The sequence below is a fragment of the Homo sapiens genome, chromosome 7 (assembly GCF_000001405.40).
Source record: "Homo sapiens chromosome 7, GRCh38.p14 Primary Assembly".
Classification (NCBI taxonomy): domain Eukaryota; kingdom Metazoa; phylum Chordata; class Mammalia; order Primates; family Hominidae; genus Homo; species Homo sapiens.
The window spans coordinates 5,073,758-5,097,180 of NC_000007.14; the positions used below are offsets into that span (position 1 = coordinate 5,073,758).

The 23,423-nt window shown below is 49.2% G+C and overlaps 1 annotated feature.

The window, feature by feature from the left end:
• Positions 20,988-21,188: a silencer, noted in NCBI's record as "peak6353 fragment used in MPRA reporter construct". NCBI's record gives its function as "represses an SCP1 promoter by STARR-seq MPRAs in K562 erythroleukemia cells {active_cell/tissue: K562}" and the evidence as "EXISTENCE:reporter gene assay evidence [ECO:0000049][PMID:32103011]".

Below are 23,423 nucleotides of genomic sequence, written 5' to 3' on the forward strand. Positions count from 1 at the left end.
CCGCCCCTGACTCTGTCACCTCTAGATGCTGCAGCCTGTGGGTGTCCCATTTGCTGGTTCCTAACCTCTCCAATGGTGGGGCACTCGGCTCTTACTCAAGGCCACCTGAGATCTCAGAGGAGCATGCTGAGTTGGGCACAGCAAGCGTGTCTAGTCCTGCTCCCCCACGGAGCACTGCTTACCACACTGAGCCTCCTGGCCCCAGCCTCAGTAACAGCACACGCTGGAGCCGCCCTTGTTACTTTCTGTCTCAGTGACTTCAAAAATACCAGCCCTGGTGGTTTTTTTTTTTTCTTTTGTTTGAGACAGAGTTTTGCTCTTGTTGCCCAGGCTGGAGAGCAATGGCACAATCTCGGCTCACCGCAACCTCTGCCTCCCAGGTTCAAGTGATTCTCCTGCCTCAGCCTCCTGAGTAGCTGGGATTACAGGCGTGTGCCACCATGCCCAGCTAATTTTTGTATTTTTAGTAGAAACAGCGGTTTCATCATATTGGTTAGGCTGGTCTCAAGCTCCTGACCTCAGGTGATCCACCCACCTCGGCCTCTCAAAGTGCTGGGATTACAAGCATGTGCCACCGCGCCCAGCAGGTGGTTTCTTAAAATGTTAAACCCACACCTGCCTATGACCCAGTCATTCCATGGCCTGGACACTTACCCAAGAGACATGAAAGCACACGCCTCACAAACACTTGTACACAAATGCTCATGGCAGCTTGATTTATAATTGCCGAATTTTAGAAACAACCCAAATAGCAACAGGTAGAATGGATAAACACCATGATATAGCCTCATGAGGGAATGTTCATCAGCAATAAAAAGGAAAGAATTACTGATACATGCAACATGAATGGGTCTCAGAAACATATTCTGAAAAAAAATAAAAGCCACTAAAAAGTACTGCATATAATTCTTTTTTTTTTTGAGACAGAATCTCGCTCTGTCGCCCCAGGCTGGACTGCAGTCGCGCGATCTCGGCTCACTGTGATCTCCGCCTCCCGGGTTCACACCATTCTCCTGCCTCAGCCCCCCGAGTAGCTGGCACTACAGGTGCCTGCCACCGCGCCCGGCTAATTTTTTTTGTATTTTTAGTAGAGACGGGGTTTCACCGTGTTAGCCAGGATGGTCTCGATCTCCCGACCTCATGATCTGCCTGCCTCGGCCTCCCAAAGTGCTGGGACTACAGGTGTAAGCCACTGCGCCCTGCCAAATACTGCATATAATTCTATCCTTGATGAAATCCTAGAAAGGGCAAAATCTCAGGCCAGGCACAATGGCTCACACCTGTACTCCCAGCACTTTGGGAGGCTAAGGTGGGTGGATTGAGGTCAGGGGTTCAAGACCAACCTGACCAACATGGTGAAACCCTGTCTCTTCTAAAAATACAAAAAAATTAGCCAGGCATTGTGGTGTGCACCTGTAATCCCAGCTACTCGGGAGGCTGAGGCAGGAGAATCACTTGAACCTGGGAGGGGGAGGTTGCAGTGAGCCAAGATCCAGACTGGGCAACAGAGCGAGACTCTGTCTCAAAAATAATAATAATTAATTAATTAACGGGGTGTGATAGTGTGCTCCTGTAGTCCCTATTCAGGGGGCTGAGGTGGGAGGATCGCTTGAGCCCAGGAGGTTGAAGCTGCAGTGAGCCGTGATTGCGCCTCTGCGCTCCAGCCTGGGCAATAGAGTGAGACCCTGTCTCAAAAAAAACTCGAGTCTACACTGACCGCAGATCCGAGATTGCCTGGGGATGAGGGTGGGAGAGGATGGGGTGACAGGGACAGAGGGAAGCTTCTGGGGGTGATATGCTTCGGCTGTGTCCACACCCAAATCTCATCTCGAATTGTAATCTGACTCGTAATCCCCAGGTGTCAGGGGAGGGACCTGGTGGGAGGTGATTGAATCATCAGAGTGGCTTCCTCCGTGCCGTTCTTATGATAGCGAGTTCTCACGAGATCTGATGGTTTTATAAGTGCCAGTTCCTCCCGCCCGCTCTGGTGAAGAAGGGGTTCGCTCCGCCTTCTGCTATGATTGTAAATTTCCTGAGACCTCCCAGCCATGTGAACCGTGAGTCAATGAAGCCTCTTTCCTTTATAAATTACCCAGTCTTGGGTATTTCTTTATAGCAACATGAAAACAGACTAATACAGGGGGCTATTGGCCCATCTTCTTTGTGGCGACGGTGTCACAGGTGTACATATCTATGTCAAAACTCATTGAAACCACACAGTTAAATGGATGCAGTTTACTATATCCATCAGACCTCGGTAAACCAGCAAAGCCAGCTCTCTGTGCTCAGAGCCCCGCCCGGAAGGAACCCTGCAGCCTTTTCAGATCCTTGTCTGTTCCTCCCGGTCCCCTCAGTCTCCGTGAGAACCTGGGCCAGGTTCCCTCTGCACCATGGAGAATGGCGAGTGGGTGGAGGTGCCCCCCCCCATTGTCCCTGCCCATAATCACGCCTGGGAGGTTGTCACTGCCGCTGCCCCTGCACCCCCAGAGCCACACTGAGAGTGGCGTAGCCTTTGCTCCCTCTGTGTGGCATGCCTCACCCTGAAGGTCTGCCCTGGCCTCCTGCCTGGCCACTCTGCCATGGCACGGTCAGTGCCCAAGGAGGGATGCAATTTAGGGGACCTGCCTTGAGGTCTGGCATCTCCTGGTGTTGTCTATTTGCTTTGTTTGGTTGCTAATTGGCATTCCGTTTTTAGGCCTGATATAAGTTACTTGAGACCCAGTTGTATCCCATCATCTTTGGCCCAGGTAAAGCCTCCCCTCCCAAGTGGTTGATTGTGAACAGTGCAGCCCACCTGTTCGTCATCCCGCCAATCCCCAAACCCAACACACCCACAGCTGCTGACCACGCTGAAACCTTCGGGCCAACACCTGCGTCATGAAAATCAGTTCCCTTCACAGGAGTTTCCTTTCCTTTTCTTTCTCTTCTTTTTCTTTTTTGAGACGGAGTTTTGCTCTTGTTGCCCAGACTGAGTGCAATGGCGCAATCTCAGCTCACTGCAACCTCCACCTCCCGGGTTCAAGTGATTTTCCTGCCTCAGCCTCCTGAGTAGCTGGGATTACAGGCATATGCAACTACACCCAGCTAATTTTGTATTTTTAGTAGAGACGGGGTTTCTCCATGTTGGTCAGGCTGGTCTCGAACTCCCGACCTCAGGTGATCCGCCCACCTTGGCCTCCCAAAGTGCTGGGATTACAGGCGTGAGCCCCCACACCCAGACTCCTTTCTTTCTCTACCTTTCCTTCCCTTCCTTCCCTCCCTCCCTCCCTTCTTCCTTCCTTTTCTTCCTTCCTCCCTTCCTCCTTCCTTTTCTTCCTTTCCCATTTTTTCTTTCTCTCTCTTTCTCCCTTTCTCTCTTTCTCTCCCTCCCTTTCTCTTTCTCTCTCTTCTTTTTTTTTTTTTTTGAGATGGAATCTTGCTCTCTTGCCCAGGCTGGAGTGTGGTGGCGCGATCTCTGCTCACTGCAAGCTCTGCTTCCCGGGTTCACGCCATTCTCCTGCCTCAGCCTCCCGAGCAGCTAGGACCACAGGTGCCCGCCACCACGCCCGGCTAATTTTTTGCATTTTTAGTAGAGACGGGGTTTCACCGTGTTAGTCAGGATGGTCTCGATCTCCTGACCTCGTGATCCGCCTGCCTTGTCCTCCCAAAGTGCTGGGATTACAGGAGTGAGCCACCGTGCCCGGCCTCTCTTTTTTCTTTTACTTTCTCTTTTTTCTTTTTCTTTCTCTTCTTTTTATTTCTGTTTCTTTCTCTTTCTTTTTCTTTCTCTTATCTTTCTCTTTCTCTCTCTTTTAAAAAAAATTTCTTTTCTTTTTCTTTCTTTCTTTTTTTTTTTTTGAGGCGGGGGTCTCGTATGTTGCCCAGACTGGCTCAAACTCCTGGCCTCAAGTGATCTGCCCACCTTGGCCTCCCAAAATGCTGGGATTGCAGGTCTGAGCCACCACACCCAGCCCTGTTTTCCATTTTAACTGAAATGTCCTGACCAATAGTTTCCAGAAACGGCATTTGACTATTGTAGCCACAAACCCAGGATGGGCTGGGCAGTCTTCTGCATACAAGTGTGTGTGTGCACGAAAATGATTGCTTTTCTTTTCCATAAACCCTCTTACAAGCTCCTGACGGCAGAAACGGGCTGTGTTTCCTGCTGTGTCACACAACACTGAGCTTGGCAGACGTTCAGTTCTCGAAGCCTTTTTCTCCCATCGAGGACAAGCACGCAGGTGGCTGTGTCTGTCACACGCTGTGCAGAGAGGCTGTTCCCAGACACTCCAGCCCCTGCTTCCACTTTCCTATTGCCTCCAGTGGTGATCGTGTGGGACAGCGTAAAATGCTAGGGTCCTGTTGTTCAAAGGCTGAAAAGTGAAATTTACACTCATGGATAGATGGGTGAGTTGGCAGTGATTGAAAATAAATGGGGCTAGGTGTGGTGGCTCATGCCTGTAATCCCAACACTCTGGGAGGCCAAGGCGTGGGGACCACCTGAAGTCAGGAGTTCGAGACCAGCCTGGCCAACATGGTGAAAACGCATCTCTACTAAAAACACAAAAATTAGCCAGGTGTGGTGGCAGACGCGTCATCCCAGCTACTCGGGAGGCTGAGGCAGGAGAATTACTTGAACCCAGGAGATGGAGGTTGCAGTGAGCCAAGATCACGCCACAGCACTCCATCCTGGCTGACAGAGCAAGATTGTCTCAAAAAAAATAAATAAATAAAAATAAATTGACTACTCACAGGAGTACTTTGATCTCTGTTGGGAGGTAAAGAACCACTATTTCTTTACAATTCTTTTCAATAGAGTCAGGGTTTTGTCACGTTGCCCAGGCTGGCCTGGAACTCCTGGGTTCAAGCGATTCACCTGCCTCGGCTTCCCAAAATGTTGGGATTACAGGCACACCCAGTCTACAACCTTTTCTTTCTTTTCTTTTCTTTCCTTCCTTTCTTTCTTTCCTTTCTCTCTTTCCTTTCTTCCTTTCTTTCCTTTCTTTCTTTCTTTTTTTCCTTTCCTCATTTCCTTTCTTTCCTTTTTCTTTGTTTTCTTTCTTTCTTTCCTTTCTTCCTTTCAACAGGGTCTCACTCTGTCACCCAGGCTGGAGTGCAGTGGCATAATCTCAGCTTACTGCAACCTCCGTCTCCCAGGTTCAAGTGACTCTCCTGACTTAGCCTCCCGAGTAGCTGGGATTACAGGTGTGAGCCACCACGCCCAGCTAATTTTTCTATTTTTAGTAGAGACAGAGTCTCACCATGTTGGCCAGGCTGGTCTTGAACTCCTGACTTCAAGTGATTTGCCTGCCTTGGCCTTCCAAAGTGCTGGGATTACAGGTGTGAGCCACAGTGCCCAGACTAAAACCACTCTTGCTTAAAGCTTTGTGGCTAAAGTGATGACACCTTCTCCGCCTGCTGTGTCCTGGGCATAGCCGGGGGCATAGCTGGGCATTTCTACACTGCCACAGGCTCATTTTCTGGTAGGTCTTCACTTGAGCCAAGCCAGAGGAGCGGGCCTGGGGTGACATTGGCCTTCAGCAGGCTCAGTGGCCGAGCAAGGGAGATGTGGGAGGATCTAGAAAAGGGGTTAGGCTGGGCGTGGTGGCTCACGCCTGTAATCCCAGCACTTTGGGAGGCCAAGGCAGGTGGATCATTTGAGGTCAAGAGTTCGAGACCAGCCTGGCCAACATGGTGAAACCCGTCTGTACCAAAAATACAAAAATTAGCTGGGCATAGTGATGGGTGCCTGTAATCCCAGCTACTAGGAGGCTGAGACAGAAGAATTGCTTGAACTTGGGAGGCAGAGGTTGCAGTGAGCCGAGATCACACCACTGCACTCCAGCCTGGGTGATAGAGCGAGACTCAGTGTCAAAATAGAAAAGAAAAGGGTAAGTATGGTAGTCACACCTGTAATCCCAGAACTTTGGGAGGCTGAGGTGGGATGATTGCTTAAGTCCAGGCATTTTGAGACCAGCCTGGGCAACATAGCAAGACCCCATCTTTATAAAAAATAATACTAAGCTGGGTGTGGTGGCCGGGGCCTGTAGTCCCAGCTACTCAGGAGACTGAGGTGGGAGGATAGCTCAAGCCCAGGAGTTGGAGGCTGCAGTGAGCTATGATTATGCCATTGTACTCCAGCCTGGGCAACGAAGCAAGACCCCATCTCTACATAAAAATTTAAGAATTAGCTAGGCATGGTGACCTGTGCCTATAATCCCAGCTACTCAGGAGGCTGAGGCAGGAGGATTGCTTGAGCCCAGGAGTTTGAGACTAGAGTGAGCTATGATCATGCTACTGCACTCCAGCCTGGGTAACAGAGCAAGACTCTATCTCTTTAAAAAAAAAAAAAATGTGGGCCGGGCGCGGTGGCTCACGCCTGTAATCCCAGCACTTTGGGAGGCCAAGGCAGGTGGATCACGAGGTCGAGACGATCCTGGCTGACACATTGAAACCCTGTCTCTACTAAAAATACAAAAAATTAGCCGGGCATGGTGGCGGGCTCCTGTAGTCCCAGCTACTCGGGAGGCTAAGGCCGGAGAATGGTGTGAACCAGGGAGGCGGAGCTTGCAGTGAGACGAGATAGCGCCACTGCACTGCAGCCTGGGTGACAGAGCAAGACTCCGTCTCAAAAAAAAGAAAAAAAATGTGGAGGGCTGAGGTGGAGGGCTCAGAGAGGACAGAACTGTGCAGATGGCAGGGCTGGGAGTGATGGGTAGGCAGGGCTGGGATAATCAGCTGAGCTCAGGTGGGGTGGGTATGGCTGGTGGTGGAGCAGCCCGCACTGGGCCTGGGTGAATGTGCATAGTGTAGACATCAGCAGCAAGGGGGGGACCCTGAATGGTGCAAGGAGAGGCTGCAGGAGATGTGACAGCTGCCCTGTCCCTTGGCTTCAAGCAACAGTGTGGCTTAGGTGGCACTTTGGTTGCCTCTGTGACCCCAGGCTGATAAAACCACCCAATCACATGGCAGCTACTTCTACCAGAAGGTGAATGCCCATCAGGCACTGGGACCCTCCTCTGCATCCCCGGCGTTTGCCTAAACCCCAGACGAGCAGGGCCAGCTGCTGTTCCAGCATCTGTGCTAGAGCTTGGCTCACACTGTTCCACTGCCTGGAATGCCAGCCTCTGTCCTCTCCTCCGGCCCATTAGAAAGGGGGAAACTGAGACATCATGGCAGAGCCTATAAGATGTTATCAACATTCTATGTCAATTTATTTTTTATTTTTTAATTTGCTTTTTTTTTTTTTTTTTTTGAGATAGAGTCTAGCTCTGTCGCCCAGGCTGGAGTGCAGTGGCATGATCTCAGCTCACTGAAACCTCTACCTCCCGGGTTCAACCGATCCTCCCACCTCAGCCTCCCGAGTAGCTGGGACTACAGGCATGTGCCACCATGCCTGGCTAATTTTTGTATTTTTAGTAGAGAGGGGATTTCACCTTGTTGGCCAGGCTGGTCTCGAACTCCTGACCTCAAGTGGTCTACCCACCTCAGCCTCCCAAAGTGCTGGGATTTCAGGCGTGAGTCACCATGCCTGGCCATGCCAATGAATTTAAATATTTGGATAAAACCAACAACTTTCTAGAAAATTACTGAAACTGACATAAGAAATCGAATCTGTAACTTAAAATCCCCCCACCACGGCCCAGCGCGGTGGCACATGACTGTAATTCCAGCAGTTTGGGAGGGCAAGGTGGGAAGAACTCGTGAGGCCAGGAGTTCAAGACCACCCTGAGCAACATAGCAAGACCCCCCGCCTCTGTCGCTACAAAAAATTTCCAAATTAGCCGGGCATGTTGGTGTATGCCTGTAGCCCCAGTTGCTTGGGAAGTGAGGAGGAAGAATTGTTTGAACACAGGAGGTCGGGGCTGCAGAGAGCTGTGATTGCATCTCTGCACTCTAGCCTGGGTGACAGAGTGAGACTCTCTTTTTTTTTTTTTTTTTTTAAGACTTTAGAAAATGGCCTTTTGAGGACCTGGCTCTTGCCTTGAATGAATGAGGGGACCTCTTCACCCTTCAGACCCCCAGAATGGCAGGTTCCCTCTCCCCATGGGTATTTCTGCTGGGACTCTCTCTGGGTTCACCTGAAAGGTACAGAGCTCTTCAGCTCCCTTCCACTCTTCAGAAAAGACATCCCTCGCCACAGCCTGAGTCCACTGGAGCACACAGTTGATGACTTTTAGGCTGTTGATATTTCTCTGGTAACGTGTTTTTTTATTATTATTATTATTATTATTATTATTATTATTATTATTTTGAGATGGAGTCTCGCTGTGTTTCCTAGGCTGGAGTGCAGTGGCACAATCATAGCTCACTGCAGCCTCCACCTCCTGGGCTGAAGTGATCCTTCTGCCTCAACCTCCCACGTAGCTAGGACTACAGGCACATGCCACCATGCTGGCTAGTTTATTTTTTGTACAGACAAGGTCTTACTCTATTGCTCAGGCTGGTCTCAAACTCCTGGGCTCAAGCGATCCTCCCACCTTGGCCTCCCAAAGTGCTGGGATTATAGGAATGAGCCACCATGCTGGGCCTCTTTGCTTAAAAAAAAAAAGTCACTATTTGCTGTACCCCAGTTTCCATTTACCATGTGTCTGGGGTGCATCCTGCCCAGTCATCTGAGAAGGAAGTGCCAGGGATTCAATTATTTCCAAAAACTGGGTTTCCAGGTTTTGCCATTGAGAAATAAATTGGGATTTGGGTCAGGTGCAGTGGCTCATGCCTGTAATCCCAGAACTTTGGGAGGCCGAGGCAGGTAGATCACTTGAGGCCAGGAGTTCAAGACCAGCCTGGCCAACATGGCAAAACCCCGTCTCTACTTAAAATACGTTTTTAAAAAAGAAGAAAAAGAAAAAAGAAAATTAGCCGGGCATGGTGGTGGGTGCCTGTAATCCCATCTACTCGAGACACTGAGGCAGGAGAATGGCTTGAGGTGGAGGTTGCAGTGAGCCGAGATTGCACAACTGCACTCCAGCCAGCCTGGGCGAAAGAAACCGGGATTTAGAAATGCCTCAGGTATTGGGCTCCTGTCTCCTCTTGCGGGGGTGGGGGAGAGTGGTATTTTCACGCCTTCCAGGAAGCAGGGGGGTGTCTCCAGTCCCATAACCTTCTTCTCACCTGGATTTGCCATGCTGGTGAGTGCTGCAAAAGTGCTGAGTGAGCCAAGCACACCTTGTCCCCTCCCTAGCTGGTCTCTCTGGGACAGCCTGGTCCACAGTTCCTTCTGCTTTTCCAAACAGAAGACCTTTGTGGTTTTCTAACTTCACCTGTGACTGGCAGGTGCAAAGTGCTGGGAAACCCACGCGGTCAGTCTCCCCCGGCCTCCGCCCCGGTCCCTCTACTTCCTCCAATTCAGTGTCGTTCATAATAAAACGGATTTTGATTGCTATGCATCTGACACTGGTGTTTATGGCTTGGGGGATTACAAAGTTAGGAAAGGAAGAGGGGCTGGTATCAACCCCCAAACTAGCATGCTTACGTGGATTGCAAGGAGTCTGGCATGGTGATGTGTGCCTGCAATCTCGCAATGCGTCCGTTATGTGCGCTTGCCTTCGTCCAGCGTGGTTATCTGCACTCGCAATGCGTCTGGCATGGGTACCTGCGCTTGCGATGGGTCCGGCGTGATTATGTGCGCTTGGCTGCATCTGGCGTGGTTATTTGCGCTTGCAATGCGTCCGGCAGGGTTATGAGCGCTTGCAATGGCTCCGCACGATTATCTGTGCTCGCAATGAATACGGCAAGGTTATGTGTGCTTGCCTGCATCCGGCATGGTTATCTGCGCTTGCAATGTGTCCGGCACGGTTATGTGTGATTACAGTGCCTCTGGCATGGTTATCAGCGCTTGCAATGCATCTGTTATGTGCGCTTGCAATGTGTCTGGCATGGTTATGTGTGCTTGCAATGCTTCCGTTATGCGTGCTTGTACTTGCTGGGGATATGGACCAGCTGCATCGCCTTTGTTTCTCTCCATCCCACTGCCTCATGATAACCACCATGCCAAAGCAGCAACTGTCCCCCACAATCTGAAGGACGTGACATCGAAGCTTCCCTTGAAACCTACTGAGGAGCTTGTAAGAAACTGATTTGGCACAAACAATCCCCACTGCAACTCACTCAATCCACAATGAGGACTTTTTTTTTGAGACAGAGTCTCGCTCTGTCGCCCAGACTGGGCTTGAACTCCTGGGCTGAAGTGATCCTCCTGCCTCAGCCTCCTGAGTAGTGGGGAGTACAGGCACGCACTCCACACCAAGCTAATTTCTTAATTTTATTTTGTAGAGACGGGGTCTTGCTATATTGCTCAGGCTGGTCTAGATCTCCCAGGCTCAAGTGATCCTCCTGCCTTGGCTGGGATTACAGGCATGAGTCACTGCATCCAGCCCCCATCCCCCTTTTTTGGCTTAACCCCACCAAGATAAAGGGAACATGAATACAGTTAAAGGTAGAAAAGAGACGTCCACACAGTGTTAGGAGAAACATTACTAATGGCAACCCCTGGTAGAGCAAAGCTGAAGCCCAGGCTGGGTGCAGTGGCTCACGCCTATAATCCCAGCACTTTGGGAGGTTGAGGCAGGTGGATCACGAGGTCAGGAGTTCAAGACCAGCCTGGCCAAGATGGTGAAACCCCATCTCTACTAAAAATACACAAATTAGCTGGGTGTGGTGGCAGGGGCCTGTAATCCTAGCTACTTAGGAGGCTGAGGCAGGAGAATCGCTTAAACTCAGGAGGTGTAGGTTGCAGTGCGCAGAGATCGCACAACTGCACTCCAGCCTGGGCAACAGAGCAAACCTGTCTCAAAAAAAAACCCTGAAGCCTAAGTTCTTCAGAGGCAAACACTCCTCGGGAGGGGAGTCAAAGAGGAAAAGGCTCTGGGATTGGCGGAAGCATATGCGCCAGAGGGTGGAGATGTGCAGTGGGCTGCGAACAGGAGGCCTGTTCAAAGTCAGAGTGAAGGCTGGGCACAGTGGCTCATGCCTGTAACCCCAGCACTTTGGGAAGCCAAAGCAGGAGACTCTCTTGAGGCCAGGAGTTCGAGACCAGCCTGGGCAACATAGTGAGACCCGCATCTCTACAAAAAATAAAAATAGAAAAATTAGCCAGATGTGGTGGTGCACACCTGTAGTTCCAGCTACTTGGGAGGCGGGGGTGGGAGGATTGCTTGAGCCCAGGAGCTGGAAGCTGCAGTGAGCTGTGATTGCACTACTGCACTCCAGCCTGGGAAACAGAGCCAGACCCTATGTCCCTTTTTTTTTTTTTTTTTTTTTTTTTTTGAGACAGAGTCTTGCTCTGTTACCAGGCTGGAATGCAATGGCATGACCTCAGCTCACTGCAACCTCCGCCTCCCGGGTTCAAGCAATTCTCCTGCCTCAGCATCCTGAGTAGCTGGGACTACAGGCGCCCGCCACCATGCCCGGCTAATTTTTGTATTTTTAGTAGAGATGGAGTTTCACCATGTTGGCCAAGATGGTCTCCATCTCCTGACTTCGTGATCTGACTGCCTGGGGCTCCCAAAGTGCTAGGATGACAGGGGTGAGCTAACCCGACGTCTTTAAAAAAAAAAAAAAAAGTGTAAATGAAGAGTGGTAAGACATGAGACCCCCTCTACACTGGGCTGGGTGGTCGCTCGCCCCAGTCTGCAGAGGGAAAGAAAAGGTCTGAACTTGGAGGTGTGAAAATGGAACCTCTCTAGAAAGCTGCACCCTGGCCAGCGACACCACAGCTGTGTCTCCTGGAGCTGGGAGCATCCCCACTCACACCTCAGGGAGGGAGTGGAGTATTCCCAGGTGCAGATATGGCCCGGTGCAGATACGAACCCAACCAAGTTAAAGCCCTCTTGAGGGTCCTGCCGCTGTCCCCATGACAAGTGCGAGGCAGCCCTGCCCCCTGGTGGCAGCACTCAGAACTGCATCAGCAGGTGGGCTGCCCTAGGACCGGGGGACATCGCAGGCAACATAAATGCCCTTGTGGGTTACAATCTAATAAGGAAGATGTTCAATCATCTTATTAAAATAATCGGCCGGGCGCGGTGGCTCACGCCTGTAATCCCAGCACTTTGGGCGGCCCAGGCGGGCAGATCACGAGGTCAGGAGATCGAGACCATCCTGGCTAACACGGTGAAACCCTGTCTCTACTAAAAATACAAAAATTAGCCGGGCGTGTGGCGGGCACCTGTAGTCCCAGCTACTCCGGAGGTTGAGGCAGGAGAATCGCTTGAACCCGGGAGGCAGAGCTTGCAGTGAGCCGAGATTGCGCCACTGCACTGCAGCCTGGGCGACAGAGTGAGACTCCGTCTCAAAAAAAGAAAAAAAAATTTAGCCTGGCGTGCTGGCCTATAATCCCAGCAACTTGGGAGGCAGAGGAAGGAGAATTGCTTGAACCCGGGAGGCGGAGGTTGCAGTGAGCCGAGATTGCACCACTGCACTCCAGCCTGGGCAACAGAGGCAGACTCTGTCTCAAAAAGAAAAAAAAAATTACTGCTGTGAAGGGAACAAGGGGCTGAAGTAATTACAGGGGGGCCAGGGACAAGGTGGCATTTATGAGAGGTTGGGGATGAGATTTTGAAGATGGTCTCTGGGTTCCAGGCCGAGCTCACTCTGGTGCTCCTCTGGGCGGTGGAGCGGGGCTCTTCGCTGGGCTGCTTATTCCAGGCTCTGAGCTCTGGGCGGTGGGCTCAGGCTCTCCCAGGGATGTCGGTGTCTGTGCGGTTGCCACTGCCCAGTGGCCTGGGTTCTGCTTCTCCTCTGGACTCAGGTTCTCTCTGGGGCTGACAAGATCCAGGTGGGCAGAGAATGAGGTGAAGGCTTGAAGACCAAATCATGGGAGATGCCGGGAATGGGTGGTGCTGTCCACTCTGACCGCAATTTCCCATCAATATCCAGACCTGTGCCTGCAACATCAAGACCTGTGCCTGTTCCTAAAGAGTGCGGGTACCTGAAGCCCCCCACAAGGGCTCCCCCTCTACAAGACCTGCCCCCAGGATCTTAGGGCCTGGGAAAAGCAGGAGCTAAGATGAGGGTTTTGGGGGAGAGGAGGGGACCCCTTCATTGACTCCATGGACCAGCCTCAAAACAGAGATGGAGGCAGAGATGTTCAGAGATAGTACCAGTGTCAAGGAAACTCCTGTGTCGCCCCTAGGTCAGGCTGCCCTGGAGAGAAGTCCAGAGCCCCTGGAGGGGATAGACTGAGCTAGAGAGATAAGGGGGTGGCTGGTGCTCCCCTACTTCATCAGATAGGACTGTGAAGCCTGGGAGCAGGCTGGGAGTCCGAGGATATGGGAGAACATTCACAGCTGAGAAGTAAAGGAGAGGGTGGGCGCGGCAGCTCATGCCTGTAATCCCAGCACTTTGGGAGGCCGAGGTGGGCAGATGACTTGAGCTCAGAGGTTCAAGGCCAGCCTGGGCAACATGGCGAAACCCCGTCTCTACCAAAAATTACAAAAACTAGCTGGGCATGGTGGTACGTGCCTGTAGTCCTAGCTATTTGGGAGGCTGAGGTGGGAGGATCGCTTGAGCCCAGGAAGCAGAGGTTGCAGTGAGCTGAGATCACACTACTGCATTCCAGCCTGGGTGACCGAGCGAGACCCTGTCTTAAAAAGAAGAAGTAAAAGACTGATTCATCCCCTCCTGGACACATAGCCCCTCTAGAGCTGTCTTTGACAGTCTCGGCTGCCATAACAAAGTCCCATAGACTGGCTGCCTTATCAACAATAGATATCTATTTCTCACAACTCTGGAGACTGAAGATCTGAGATCAGGGTACATGGTCAGCTTCTGGTGAGGGTCCTCTTCTGGGTTCCAGATCACAGACTTCTAGTTGTGTCTTCATGTGGTGGAAAAAGAGGGAGCTCTCTGGGGTCCCATTGATTGATCGATTGATTGATGGAGATGGAGTTTCACTCTTGTCACCCAGGCTGGAGTGCAGTGGCATGATCTCGGCTCACTGCAGCCTCCACCTCCCCGGTTCAAGCCATTCTCCTGCCTCAGCCTCCCAAGTAGCTGGGATTACAGGCATCTGCCACCATGCCCAGCTAATTTTTTGTATTTTTAGTAGAGACGGGGTTTCACCATGTTGGGCAGGCTGGTCTTGAACTTCTGACCTCATGATCCTCCAGCCTCAGCCTCCTTAAGTGCAGGCATTACAGGTGTGAGCCACCGCACCCGGCCATCCCTTTTATTAATATAAGGGCACTATGCCATTCGTGAGGGTAACACCCAATCACCTCCCAAAGGCCCATGTCTCATAATACCATTACCTTAGAGGGTAGGTTTCAACATATAAATGTTGGGGGGAACATGTTCAGTCTACTGCAAGAGCAATGGGGTAAGTTTCAGTATTGGGGTGTGCATGAAATGGGGGACAATATTGCAGGCAAAGACACTGGCTGAGAGCAACCCCTCCAGCTCGTACCCCAAATACCCCATTAAGATCTCATTTATTTGTCCACAGAATGGGAACAGAAATAGCACTTTGGCCAGGCGCGGTGGCTCACGCCTGTAATCCCAGCACTTTGGGAGGCCTAGGTGAGTGGATCACGAGGTCAGGAGTTTGAGACAGGCCTGGCCAATATGGTAAAACCCCGTCTCTACTAATACTACAAAAATTAGCCGGGCATGGTGGCTTATGCCTGTAATCCCAGCTACTCAGGAGGCTGAGGCAGGAGAATCACTTGAACCCAGGAAGCGGAGGTTGCAGTGAGCCGAGATTGCGCCATTGCACTACAGCCTGGGCAACAAGAGTGAAACTCTGTCTCCGAAAAAAAAAAAAAAAAAAAAAAAAAAGGAAGGAAGAAATAGCACCGCCCATGGGAATGGGATTCCCGCCCTCTTGGGCTGCTGTGTTTGGCTCCAGAGTGTAGAGCCTGGGCTTGTGAAGACAGGGGGAGCCTTCCAGGCCTCTAATTTCCTGAAGCCATTTGTGGGGACTCCTGAACACACCTGGAGGAAGTCCCGCCTCTCTCCAGAAGAACAGGGCAAAACACTGCCCTCTGACGACAAATTGTAGTTGCTTTTCCCAGGAGCACTGAGCTTTAATTTTTTTTTTTTTTTTTTTTTTTTTCCTGAGACAGAGTCTTGCTTCGTCACCAGGTTGGAGTGCAGTGGCGCAAACTCGGCTCACTGCAACCTCCGCCTCCCGGGTTCAAGCGATTCTTCTGCCTCAGCCTCCTGAGTAGCTGAGATTATAGGCACCCACCACCACGCCCAGCTAATTTTTGTATTTTTAGTGGAGACAAGGTTTCACCATGGTGGCTGGGATGGTTTCGAGCTCCTGAACTTGTGATCCACCTGCCTTGGCCTCCCAAAGTGCTGAGATTACAGGCGTGAGCTACCACGCCGGCCTGAATCTTAATTTTTGTTCCGCAAACGCCCTCCTTCTGCCCTCAGGCCTGGGAGGAAAATGCTCCTTCTCTAACTCCGTGGAGTCTCTGCCCCAAGGGGATCCATCAAACAGGAAATTCAGGATTCCAATTTGTAGGGACAAGTACCAAATTTCCTTCCAGAAAGCTTGACAAATTACCTTCCACCAACTGCATGCAAGAAAACCTCTCACCTCTACCAGGCTGGTTAGAAACTTACAAATTTTTTGCCAATATTTTTGCAAAAACACAGTATTGCATTTACAGTTTTTTCATTTGCTGAATCAAAGGTAAGCTGGGAGGCAGGATCACTTCCAGAACAGCAGAATAAACACCTCTGATAATCGGCCAGGCGCAGTGGCTCACGCCTGTAATCCCAGCACTTTGGGAGGCTGAGGCAGGCAGATCATGAGGTCAGGAGTTTGAGACCAGTCTGGCCAATGCGGTGAAACCCCATCTCTACTAAAAATACAAAAATTAGCCAGGCTTGGTGGTGCACGCCTGTAGTCCCAGCTCCTTGGGAGGCTGAGGCAGGAGAATTGCTTGAACCTGGGAGGCGGAGGCTGAAGTGAGCTAAGATCGCACCACTGCACTGCAGCCTGGGCAACAGAGGGAGACTCCATCTCCAAACAAAAAAAAACTCCAAAATAACTGAAAATCTCCTCCTCCATAAAAGTCACACAAATCCTGGCAAAAATGGTCAAAACCAACTTCTCCATAACTTTAGAAATTAACCAAAGGCTTATAACAATTCGGGGAATTTAAGAAAAATACCTGAATATCTCTAAGATTGTCAATCGAGAAAAATGATGAGACAAGCGTCAATTATTTTAGGAGGTTTATTCACCAAAGTTAACGATGCACACCTGGGAGACAGGTCTATGTCTTTCTCCAAAAGTAATTTTGAGACCCCACCATTAAAGGGGAAAGGGCGAGATATTGAGAAGTACACAATTTTCATGTAAGAAGGAGGTAGGAAAAATAGTCATTCATGCCTGTTGTCTGGTTCAGTGAATCTGTTTCTCCCCGCCCCCAAAGAGGGTCTCATTCTGTTGCCCAGGCTGGAGTGCAGTGGCACAATCTCAGCTCACTGCAACGTCCGCCTCCCGGGTTCAAGCGATTCTCCTGCCTCAGCCTCACAAATAGCTGTCATTACAGGTGCCCACCACCACGCCTGGCTAATATATGTATTTTTAGTAGAGACGGGGTTTAACCATGTTGCCTGGGGTTGGTCTCGAACTCCTGACCTCAGGTGATCCACCCGCCTCAGCCTCCCAAAGTGCTGGGATTACAGGCATGAGCCACCGTGCCTGGCCTGTACTTTTTTTTTTTTTTTTTTTTTACATAAGATAACATAGACAAAATGGGGCAGGGGAGCAATCAGATATGCATTTGTGTCTGGTGGGCAGGGGGTTGACTGCACCTGTAAAAGGTAAGCTATCAGTTTACATTGCCCTGGTGAAATTTTCACAGAAACACCTTAAAGATCTTGCAGCTCACTAGGAATTTCCTTGTGAGCAAAATGTGAGGGAGGCTTGTAGCTTTTCATCTTGTAGCCATCTTATTTAGAAACCCAAAAATGGGGAGGCAGGTTTGCACAACCCAGTTCCCAGCTTGACTTTTCCCTTTGGCTTAACGAGTTTGAGGTCCCAAGATTTTTTTTTTTTTTTTTTTCGAGATGGAGTCTCGCTCTGTCCCCCAGGCTGGAGTGCAGTGGCACGATCTTGGCTCATTGCAACCTCTGCCTCCTAGGTTCAAGCAGTTCTCCTGCCTCAGCCTCCTGAGTATCTGGGATTACAGGTGCCCACCACCACACCTAGCTAATTTTTGTATTTTTAGCAGAGATGGGGTTTCACCATGTTGGCCAGGCTGGTCACGAACTCCTGACCTCAGGTTATCTGCCCGTCTCAGCCTCCCAAAGTGATGGGATTACAGGCGTGAACCACCATGCCCAGCCTGGGGTCCCAAGATTTAATTTCTTTTCACGAGACCAGTGAGCTTTGTAGCATGTGGACTTCCCATTTCCTTCTTCCCAACTCTGATAGCTTTAAAATCCAATAGGTTTGGCCAGGTGCACACTTGTAATCCCAGCACTTTGGGAGGCTAAGGTGGGTAAATTGCTTGAGCCCAGGAGTTTAAGACCAGCCTGGGCAAGATGGCGAGACCCCATATCTACAAAAAATACAAAAATTAGCTAGGCGTGGTGGCACAAGCCTGTAGTCTCAGGTACTTGGGAGGCTGAAGTGGAAGGATCGCCTGAACCCGGGAAGTCGAGGCTGCAGTGAGCCATGATCATGCCACTGTACTCCAATCTGAGCAATAGGGGTGAGACCCTTCCATCTCAAAAAAAAAGAAAAAAACCCAACAGCCTTTACCCACAGTAGCTGTAAAAACCAGTACTTTAGGCCGGGCGTGGTGGCTCACACCTGTAATCCCAGCACTTTGGGAGGCCAAGGTGGGCGGATCACGAGGTCAGGAGATTGAGACCATCCTGGCTAACACGGTGAAACCCCATCTCTACTAAAAATACAAAAAATTTGCTGGGCATAGTCCCAGCTACTTGGGAGGCTGTAGTCCCAGCTACTCGGGAGGCTGAGGCAGGAGAATGGCGTGAACCCGGGAGGCAGAGCTTGCAGTGAGCAGAGATCGTGCCACTGCACTCCAGCCTGGGCGACAATGCGAGACTGTCTCAAAAAAAAAAAAAAAAAAATTAACCATTTTGAGAGAAAATGGGTTTGAAACTCGCCAAAAAGCCCTATCTTCAGAGAATTGTCAGTACTTCACCTATAAGGCAACTGTCTAGAAAAGCCCCACTCAGATGACTTTTTAAATTTTTTCCTTTGAGGTAAAGTCTTGCTCTGTTACCAGGCTGGAGTGCAGTGGAGTGATCTTGGCTCACTGCAAGCTCCGCCTCCTGGGTTCAAGTGATTCTTTTGCCTCAGCCTCTCCAGTAGCTGGGACTACAGGCACGTGCCACCATGCCCAGCTAATTTTTTTTTTTTTTTGAGACGGAGTCTCGCTCTGTTGCCCAGGCTGGAGTGCAGTGGTGCGATCTTGGCTCACTGCAGGCTCCGCCCCCCGGGGTTCACGCCATTCTCCTGCCTCAGTCTCCCAAGCAGCTGGGACTACAGGCACCCGCCACCTCGCCCAGGCTAATTTGTTTTTTGCATTTTTAGTACAGACGGGGTTTCACCATGTTAGCCAGGATGGTCTCGATCTCCTGACCTCGTGATCCACCCGCCTCGGCCTCCCAAAGTGCTGGAATTACAGGTGTGAGCCACCGCGCCTGGCCTACCCAGCTAATTTTTGTATTTTTAGTGGAAACAGGGTTTCACCATGTTGGCCAGGATGGTCTCGATCTCTTGACCTCGTGATCCACCCTCCTTGGCCTCCCAAAGTGCTGTGATTATAGGTGTGAGCCACCGCGCCCGGCCTCAGAGGACTTTTATCCACTTTCAGTAACAACTCCCCTAGAAGGTTAATACCCTATTCCCAGGACATTTTTCAAAAACAATCAGTAGCAATTGAATAACATTGCAGCTCCCTGGGGTGGCAGTACCAGCTAAGACACACAAGAGGCTGGCCAGAAAGCATAAAATGATAATTTCGAGCATGAGAGGTCTATACAGGGTTTTGAAAAGGTCTAACATGTTCCAGTGATCTAGAAGGACATACAATATATAAGGCCATGCAGATGCCTGTGAAATACCACAGACACCTCCAATGTCTCACATCTGTTGTCCTTAGATTCTGAACTGGCAGGAAGTGAAAGCTAAGCGCAGGCTTGTCGACTGCTGGGGTGTTGAAGATGGACCCCAACACACAGGGGACCCTTGGCAAAAACTGGAAGACTTATTCGCTTAAAGCATTTAAGGAAATCTGTACAGTCGCTAGCTGAACACTAAACTGAGCAGAGACGAGAACCAAGAGCAAGAAAATCTGAAAACGGGGAAGGAAATCTGATTACCAGAGTTACCATAATACAGTATTTAAAATCTCCAGTTTTTGTTTGTTTGTTTTTTGTTTGTTTTTCTGAGACACAGTCTTGCTCTGTCACCCAGGCTAGAGTGCAGTGGCACGTTCTCAGCTCACTGCAACCTCTGTCTCCCTGGTTTAAGCATTTCTCCTGCCTCAGCCACCGGTGTAGCTGGGATTATAGGCACTCGCCACCGTCCCTGGCTAATTTTTGTATTTTTAGTAGAGACGGGGGTTTCACCATCTTGGCCTGGCTGGCCTCGAACTCCTGACCTTGTGATCCACCCTCCTCGGTCTCCCAAAGTGCTGGGATTACAGGCGTGAGCCACCACACCTGGCCCTAAAATCTCCATTTTTATGCAGAAAAAGCGATACATGCAAAGAAACAGAAATGTGTGGCTCATATACAAAATATATAAAAAGTAGTCAATACAAACTGGCCCTGAGGAGTTCCAGGGTTGGGCTTATTAGACGAAGACTTGAAGCTGTTATAAATATGTTCAAATAACTAAAGGAAATGTTGTCTAAAGAGTGAAAGCAGAAGAACAATGTTCCACCAAATAGAGAATATCAATAGATACCAAAATCAGGTATCTCTATTAGAGGCTGGGTGCAGTTGCTCACACCTATAATCCCAACACTTTGGGAGGCTGAGGTGGGAGGATTGCTTAAGCTCAGGACTTTGGGACAAGCCTGAGCAACATATACCCCCATCTCTACAAAAGTTTTAAAAATTAGTTGGGCATGGTGGCACATTCCTGTAGTCCCAACTACTCAGGAAGCACTTGAGCCCAGAGACTGAAGCTACAGTGAGCTATGATCATGTCACTGCACTGTAGACTGGGTGACAGAGTGAGACCCTGTCTCAAAAAATCAAAAACAGAAATCCAGTAACAGCAAAAAACACTAAATAGAAGTTTTGAGTTAGAACTTCACTAGAGGGGCTCAGCAGCAGATGTGAACTGGCAGAAGAAAGAATCATCAAACTCGAGGATAGGTAAATTGAGATTAACCAGTATGAGGAGCAGAAAGAGGGGAGAAAGGCTTATGAGACTTGTGTTGTACCATCAAGCATAGCAACATACGCGTAATTGGAATTCCATAAGGAGTGGGGAGAGAGAAAGGGGCACAAAAAGTATTTGAAGAAATAGTGGACAAAACTCCATAAATTTGATGAAAAACATTAATCTACAGAGCCAAGAAGATCAATGTACTCTAACTAGGATAAACTCAGAGATCCACACGTAACTATATCACAGTCAAACTGTGGAAAGCAGCCAGGTGCGGCTCACACCTATAATCCCAGCACTTTGGCAGGCCAAGGCTGGAGGATCACCTGAGGTCAGGAGTTGGAGATCTCCTAGCCATCATGGCAAAACCCCATCTCTACTCAATACACAAAAATTAGCTGGGCTAATTTTTTTTTTTTTCTTTGAGACAAAGTGTCTCTCTGTTGCCAGGCTGGAGTGCAGTGGGCGCAATCTTGGCTCACTGTAACCTCCACCTCCCAGGTTCCCTCCTTATGGAATGGTGGTAGGTGCCTGTAATCCCAGCTACTCGAGAGGCTAAGGCAGGGAGAATTGCTTGAACCTGGGAGGCGGAGGTTGCAGTGAGCCAAAATCGTGCCACTGCACTCCAGCCTGGGTGACAGGGTGAGGCTCCATCTTAAAAAAATAAAACAAAAAACTGTGGAAGGCTACAGACAGAAACAACTTGAAAGCAGTAAGAGAAAAAATAATATACAAGGACACCTTTATAAGATCAATAGCTGACTTCTTATCAGAAACTATGGAGACCAGAAGCAATGGAATGAATATTACAAGTGCTGAAGGAAAAAGACTGTCAACCAAGAACTCTATACCAGTGAAATTATCCTTCAAAAATGAAGGTGAAATCAAGACATTCCCAGATAAAGAAAAGCTGATAGAATTCATCACTTGGATGCCTGTCCTCTGAGAAATACTAAAGGGGCCAGTTGCAGTGGCTCATGCTTATAATTCCAACACTGGGAGACCAAGGCAGGTGGATCATGAGGTCAGGAGTTTGAGACCATCCTGGCTAATATGGTGAAACCCCGTCTCTACTAAAAATACAAAAGTTAGCCTGGCATGGTGCCACACACCTGTAGTCCCAGCTACTCGGGGAGGTTGAGGCAGGAGAATTGTTTGAACCTGGGACGCAGAGGTTGCAGTGAGCCAAGATCGTGCCACTGCACTCTAGCCTGGGTGACAGAGTGAGACTCCATCTCAAAAAAAAAAAGAAAATTTAAAAAATACTAAAGGGAGTCTCAGACTGAAATATAAGGACACTAGGCAGTAACTCAAATCCACATGAAAAAATAGAGCCATCAATAAAGGCAACCAGTTAGGTGAATGTAAGAAATAGTATAAACGAGGCCAGGTGTGGTGGCTCACGCCTGTAATCCCAGCACTTTGGGAGGCTGAGGCGGGTGGATCTTGAGGTCAAGAGATCGAGACCATCTTGGCTAACACGGTGAAACCCTGTCTCTACTAAGAATACAAAAAATTAGCCGGGCGTGGTGGCGGGTGCCTATAGTCCCAGCTACTCAGGAGGCTGAGGCGGGAGAATGGCGTGAACCCAGGAGGCGGAGCTTGCAGTGAGCCGAGACCGTGCCATTGCATTCCAGCCTGGGTGACAGAGCGAGATCCTGTCTCAAAAAAAAAATTTTTAAAAAAGTATAAATGTATTTTTTTTGTAACTCATTTCTTTCTTGTAAGACAACTGCGTAAGCTAGGCGTGGTGGCACGTGCTTGTAGACCCAGCTACTCAGAAGGCTGAGGCAGGAGGAGGATTATGTGAGCCCAAGAGTTTGAGGCTGTGGTGTGTTGTGGTTGCATCTGTGTATAGCCACTACACTCCAGCCTGGGTAACACAGCAAGACGACCCTGTCTCTAAAAAAGACAACTACAGTGAAAAAAGAAATAATGATAAAAACTGTATTGATAATCTCAGAAGGTATAATTTGTATGACAATAGCACAAAAAGGGGAAGAAAATGCAGTTATATTGGCGAAGGGGTTTTTTTTTATTTTATTGACACATAATCATTGTACGTATTTACGGGGCACAGTGTGATATTTTAATACAGGTAAACAGTGTGTAATGATCAAATCACTAAAATTGACACATTGATCACTTCAAATATTTATCATTTCTTTGTACTCAAAAACACTCAAAATCTGCTCTATTTGAAAATATACCATAAATTATTGTCAATTATAGTCACCCTATGGTGCTATAGGACATTCAAATTATTTCTCCTTTGTTAGCTGTAATTTTTTTTTTTTTTTTTTGAGACAGAGTCTAGCTCTGTCACCCAGGCTGGAGTGCAGTGTTGCCATCTCAGCTCACTGCAACCTCTGCCTCCCAGGTTGAAGTGATTCTTCTGCCTCAGCCTCCTGAGTAGCTGGGACTACAGGCATGTACCACCATGCTCAGCTAATTTTTGTATTTTTAGTACAGACTGGGTTTCACTGTGTTGGCCAGGCTGGTCTCAAACTCTTGAGCCAAGGTGAACTGCCTGCCTCTGCTTCCTAACATGCTGGGATTACAGGTATGAGCCACCGCACCTGATCTGTAATTTTGTATCTGTTAACCAACCACTCTCTATCCTCTCCCATCCTTCTCAGCCTCTAGTAACCGTTATTCTACTTTCTTTTCTTTTCTTGTTTTTGTTTTTTGTTTTTTGTTTTTTGAGACAGAGTTTCACTTTTGTTGCCTAGGCTGGAGTGCAATGGTGTGATCTCTGCTCACTGTAATCTCTGCCTCCTGGGTTCAGCCTCCCAAGCAGCTGGGACTACAGGCATGAGCCAGCATGCCTGGCTTTTTTTTTTTTTTTTTTTTTTTTGTATTTTTAGTAGAGATGTGGTTTCTCCATGTTGGTCAGGCCGGTCTCGAACTCCCGACCTCGGGTGATCCACCCGCCTCATTATTCTACTTCCACGAGATCAACATTTTTAGCTTTCACATATAAGTGAGAACTTGTGGTATTTATCTTCCTGTGCCTGGCTTATTTCACTTAACCTAATGTTCTCTACGCTCATCCATGTGACCCCAAATAACAGGATTTTACTCTTTTTAAGGCTGAATCATATTTCAT